The sequence below is a fragment of the Homo sapiens genome, chromosome 11, assembly GCF_000001405.40.
Source record: "Homo sapiens chromosome 11, GRCh38.p14 Primary Assembly".
In the NCBI taxonomy this organism is placed as follows: domain Eukaryota; kingdom Metazoa; phylum Chordata; class Mammalia; order Primates; family Hominidae; genus Homo; species Homo sapiens.
In genome coordinates this window covers 38165378-38171003 of record NC_000011.10, presented here as the reverse complement: position 1 = coordinate 38171003, position 5626 = coordinate 38165378, and the positions used below count along the sequence as shown (strand labels likewise).

Here is a 5626-nt window from a genome sequence, read left to right as displayed (position 1 = left end):
CCACTTTCATTTTCCACTCCTAGTGGAAATAATGTTGATATTGTTCTGCTGTCAGTTGAAATGTGCAAATGGAAACTTATGAGGAAATTTGTTCTAACACTACAAACAGTAAATAATTTTAGTCTGTTTATTCTGATGAGGAAACTGATGTGTCTGTTTTGTTATTTCCTTCCCTCTGTTGTTATTACGGGCATCCAATTTTGAAAGCACAGTGTGAAAAATCATAGTGGTTGTTGGAATGTTTTATAGGAGAAGTCAGTTTATTTTTTTTGCTTCATTAATAAAAAATATTTTATATATATATATGTGGTACATATGAGTACTTGTTACATGTGTAGTATGTGTAATGATCAAGTTCATGTTTTTTTTTTCTTTTCTTTTTTTTTGACGGCGTCTCACTCTGTCCCTCAAGCTGGAGTTCAGTGGTGCGATCTTGGCTCACTGCAACCTCCACCCCCGCCAGGTTCAAGCGATTCTCCTGCCTCAGCCCCCTGAGTAGCTGGGATTACAGGTGCGTGCCAGAGCACATGGCTAATTTTTTGTTGTTGTTGTTGGTTTTTTTTGAGATAATCTCACTCTGTCGCCCAGGCTGCTGGAGTGCAGTGGCGTGATCTCAGCTCACTGCAACCTCCGCCTTCTGGGTTCAAGCGATTCCTCTGCTTCAGCCTCCCGAGTAGCTGGGATTACATGTGCGTGCCACCACACCCAACTAATTTTTGTACTTTTAGTAGAGACAGGGTTTCACCATGTTGGCCAGGATGGTCTCAATCTCTTGACCTTGTGATCTGCGCACCTCGGCCTCCCAAAGTGCTGGGATTGTAGGCGTGAGCCACCGTGTCTGGCCAAGTTTATGTTTTAAGTAGCCTATAGACACTGGGCCTGAAGAAAGCTTGATGGTATTTTAAGTTACCATCTATCCCTTGTCTTCTGGGGTGGCAAACAGCAGCCCTTAGGTTACACATCCAACACTGAATCCCACATAGTCAGATACAAACATCACAGTTGCTTCACTTCAGGATGAAAACTCCACACTCTTTGCAAGATAATTCTTTTATTCAATATTCAAAAAAAGAAAATGCTTATTTGCAGCTACTTCCAGCTAGGAAATGAGTTTAGTACAGGTATAATCTAACCATATGGAGTTTGCATTCTAGATGCAAAAATAAATGACAAGTGAATAAACTATTGATATAGTGTTTACATATCTTATATAATCACTTATAACAATGTTATAACAATATTATAAAGAAGAAAACAAAGTGCTGGTGTAGAAAAAGTTAATAGTATGAGGTGGGCGAGATTTATTTTAGGAAGGGTGTCTGTTAAACACCCTAAAAGTTCTGTTAAACATAACATTTAGGCTAAAACATTAAGAAATAAAACAAGCAAATGGGAGAGGAGGAGGGGAATCTTTCAAACAGAAGTAACATCAGGTCAACAATCTCTGAGCTGCAAAGAGCTAAGTATGCTTCAAAATCTAAAAAAAAATAAGATCAAAAAGGTGACAGTCTATGAGTAAAGATGGAAGTTATGCAACATAGACGTGAATAAACAATGAGTCATATAATAAAGAGCTGGCTTATTGAAGGTTTAGGAGTGAAGTTCCAGGCTTATTTTTATCCATTGGCTGACCATTGAAATATTTAAATAGGAAGCAACAGACTTACCTTTAGATTTTAAAGGAACTAATTCTTACTATTTAATTATAAATGGATTACAATGGGCGCTGACTGAGAGTATTCAAGAGTGAGAAAATACTGGCCTGGATAATGATAGAACAGTGTGGAATGGGTGTGGAGAGCAGGACCCAGTCGAGACCTGATTTGCAAACTGAACTGATAAAATATGCTGAAGGATGAGATGTAGAAATGAGGAAAAGCATGTAGTTGGCATTCACATCTAGACTTCAGGTATGAGTATTTGTAATGTGGTGGCTTCATTTTCTATGGTAGGAATGCCTAAAGCAGAGGCAGTGGAAATCAAAGTCATTTTATAGTTAAATTAAGTTTGAGATAACTCAGAATCATCTAAAATAGTCAAGCACTGATGCATATTTTTGTTATTCAGATGTAAGTTAATAGAGTAGCATCAGCTAAAAAGGTTATTTATCTCTAGAATGAAAGAGATTCCCTTGAGAAGAAGGAGAAAAAGAAAAAAAGCACATGATTGTATTCTGAGCAACTCAATGTTAAGTGCTTGAAAGCAGTTTAAATCCTATCCCTTTTTGATTTATCCAGGTACATATGACAGAGAATTGTGTGTGTGTGTAGACGCTCTCCATATATAGAGTCTTTAATTTAGCTGTTTGTCTTTTATTGCTGTTGAAATACTATAGACAGCATCCTAAGTTTAAAACCATATTTCTTTGAGAAAAAAAAAACCTTCATAGTTTATGAAATCTTGGAGCTGCCCAGATTTTTCTATTCAACACTTGCATTTTCACTGAATAACTGCACAACGTTCAGTTTCTTTTGGCTAGTGGAGGCAAAAATTGAAATTTTAAAAGCTAGGCCACAGAGGAAGAGAGGTTGTTTTTTTTTTTTCTCCAGCAAAATATGCACAAACCTAATTTTGCTTTGCAATTTCTATTTGCCTCTGCCAAAGACACACTTCTCAGGAATAATACTGTATATAAATCCCTTTATAATGCTGGTGCTTGAGGTAAGGATGTTCCAGCCAGATAAGCAGAAGAAGCCAGCCTTTTTAGGAGATCAATGTGTTATAACAGATTTTGACTGAATATGGTAGTTGTGTTTGGGGAAAAAATAGAATCAGGGTGTTTTCACAGATAAAAAGAACTTTACTCTCCATCCAGTCTCAATTTTACAGAAAAAGAAATTGAAGTTCTCAAAGGTTAAGTTGATTTCTCAAGGTCACATAGCTCATTAGTGGCAAATGTGGAACTTGAACTCAAATTTTCAGATTGGGGCCACAGTATCATACAACCTAATTTGACCCAGCACACATAAATATCTGATGACTAGCTAGTGCATCAATGAGTTCCTACTGAGTCTGTTCGGCTTTTGGCAAAATAGCTGCTTAATTGGAGCTATAATACTTTCTATAAAGTAAAATATATCTTAAAGTCTATGGGAGGTCTCTTCAGAGTTTAAGAATATAGGATCATCTTAGGGGAAGAGGCAAATCCAAATGCAGTTTTACTTTCTTCAACTGCACTAGATGTCATTCCTCCTAGGTTTTGCGTAACTTCTTCTTTGACACTGTAAGTCTGAGGTTAAGAATATAGGGTTTAGAGAAGCAAAAAATCAGTCATCTCCACTGCACACATGGCCCTAAGATTTTTAAAATTGCAGATATTAGGAGCAACTTTGGATAAAATCACAGTACAGAAATCAGATGTGCAAGGATTACATTTTTTCTATAATTGATTGTATTTATTTTTTAAATTCCTTTGAAATTTTATTTATGTTTTATTTTTATAGATTTAGAGGTACGAGTGCAGTTTTGTTACATGGATATATTGCACAGTGCTCAAGTCTGGGTTTTTAGTATACCCATCATCCAAATAGTAAACACTGAATATACATTAGTTCTCAGCACCACATCGCAGTTATTCCAAAACTGACCACATAGTTGGAAGTAAAGCACTCCTCAGCAAATGTAAAAAACAGAAATCACAACAGTCTCTCAAACCACAGTGCAATCAAATAAGAACTCAGGATTAAGAAACTCACTCAAAACCGCACAACTACATGGAAACTGAACAACCTGCTCCTGAATGACTACTGGGTACATAACAAAATGAAGGCGGAAATAAAGATGTTCTTTGAAACCAATGAGAACAAAGACACAATGTACCAGAATCTCTGGAACACATTTAAAGCAGTTGTGTAGAGGGAAATTTATAGCAATAAATACTCACAAGAGAAAGCAGGAAAGATCTAAAATGGACACCCTAACCCACAATTAAAAGAACTAGAGAAGCAAGAGCAAACAAATTCAAAAGCTGGCAGAAGGCAAGAAATAACTAAGATTAGAGCAGAACTGAAGGAGATAGAAACACAAAAAAAGTTTAAAAAAATCAATGAATCCAGGAGCTGGTTTTTTGAAAAGATCAACAAAATAGACCACTAGCAAGACTAATAAAGAAGGAAAGAGAGAAGAATCAAGTAGACGCAATAAAAAATGATAAAGGGATATCACCACCGATCCCACAGAAATACAAACTACCATCAGAGAATACTATAAACACCTCTATGCAAATAAACTAGAACATCTATAAGAAATTGATAAATTCCTGGACACATACACCCTCCCAAGACTAAACCAGGAAGAAGTTGAATCCCTGAATAGACCAATAAGAGGTTCTGAATTTGAGGCAATAATTAAGAGCCTACAAACCAAAAAATGTCTAGGACCAGATGGATTCACAGCTGAATTCTACCAGAGGTACAAAAAGGAGCTGGTACCATTCCTTCTGAAACTATTCCAATCAATAGAAAAAGAGGGAATCCTCCCTAACTCATTTTATGAGGCCAGCATCATCCTGATACCAAAGCCTGGCAGAGACACAACCAAAAAAGAGAATTTTAGACCAATTTCCCTGATGAACATCAATGCGAAAATCCTCAATAAAATACTGGCAAACCGAATCCAGCAGCACATCAAAAAGCTTATCCATCATGATCAACTTGGCTTCATCCCTGGGATGCAAGCCTGGTTCAATATACACAAATCAATAAAGGTAATACATCACATAAACAGAACCAAAGACAAAAACCACATGATTATCTCAATAGATGCAGAAAAGGCCTTCAACAAAATTGAACAGCCCTTCATGCTAAAAACTCTCAATAAACTAGGTATTGATGGACCATATTTCAAAATAATAAGAGCTATTTATGACAAACCCACAGACAATATCATACTGAATGGCAAAAACTGGAAGCATTCCCTTTGAAAACTGGCGCAAGACAGGGATACCCTCTCTCACCACTCCTATTCAGCATAGTGTTGGAAGTTCTGTCCAGGGCAATCAGGCAGGAGAAAGAAATAAAGGGTATTCAATTAGGAAAAGAGGAAGTCAAATTGTCCTTGTTTGCAGATGACATGATTGTATATTTAGAAAACCCCATCGTCTCAGCCCAAAAAATCCTTAAGCTGATAAGGAACTTCAGCAAAGTCTCAGGATACAAAATCAATGTACAAAAATCACAAGCATTCCTATACACCAATAACAGACAAACAGAGAGCCAGATCATGAGCGAACTCCCATTCATAATTGCTACAAAGGGAATAAAATACCTAGGAATCCAAGTTACAAGGGATGTGAAGGACCTCTTCAGGGAGAACTACAAACCACAGCTCAATGAAATAAAAGAGGACATAAACAAATGGAAGAAAATTCCATGCTCATGGATAGGAAGAATCAATATCATGAAAATGGCCATACTGCCCAAGGTAATTTATAGATCCAATGCCATCCCCATCAAGCTACCAATGACTTTCTTCACAGAACTGGAAAAAACTACTTTAAAGTTCATATGGAACCAAAAAAGAGCCCACATTGCCACGACAATCCTAAGCCAAAAGAACAAAGCTGGAGGCATCACGCTACCTGACTTCAAACTATACTACAAGGCTACAGTAACCAAAACAGCATGGT

At 36.9% G+C, this 5626-nt stretch overlaps 1 annotated feature.

The window, feature by feature from the left end:
- Positions 686 to 1885: an enhancer, noted in NCBI's record as "P300/CBP strongly-dependent group 1 enhancer chr11:38190669-38191868 (GRCh37/hg19 assembly coordinates)". NCBI's record gives its function as "activates an origin of replication core promoter dependent on BRD2, BRD4, P300/CBP, MED14 and CDK7 cofactors, with strong dependence on P300/CBP, by STARR-seq in HCT116 cells {active_cell/tissue: HCT116}" and the evidence as "EXISTENCE:reporter gene assay evidence [ECO:0000049][PMID:35650434]".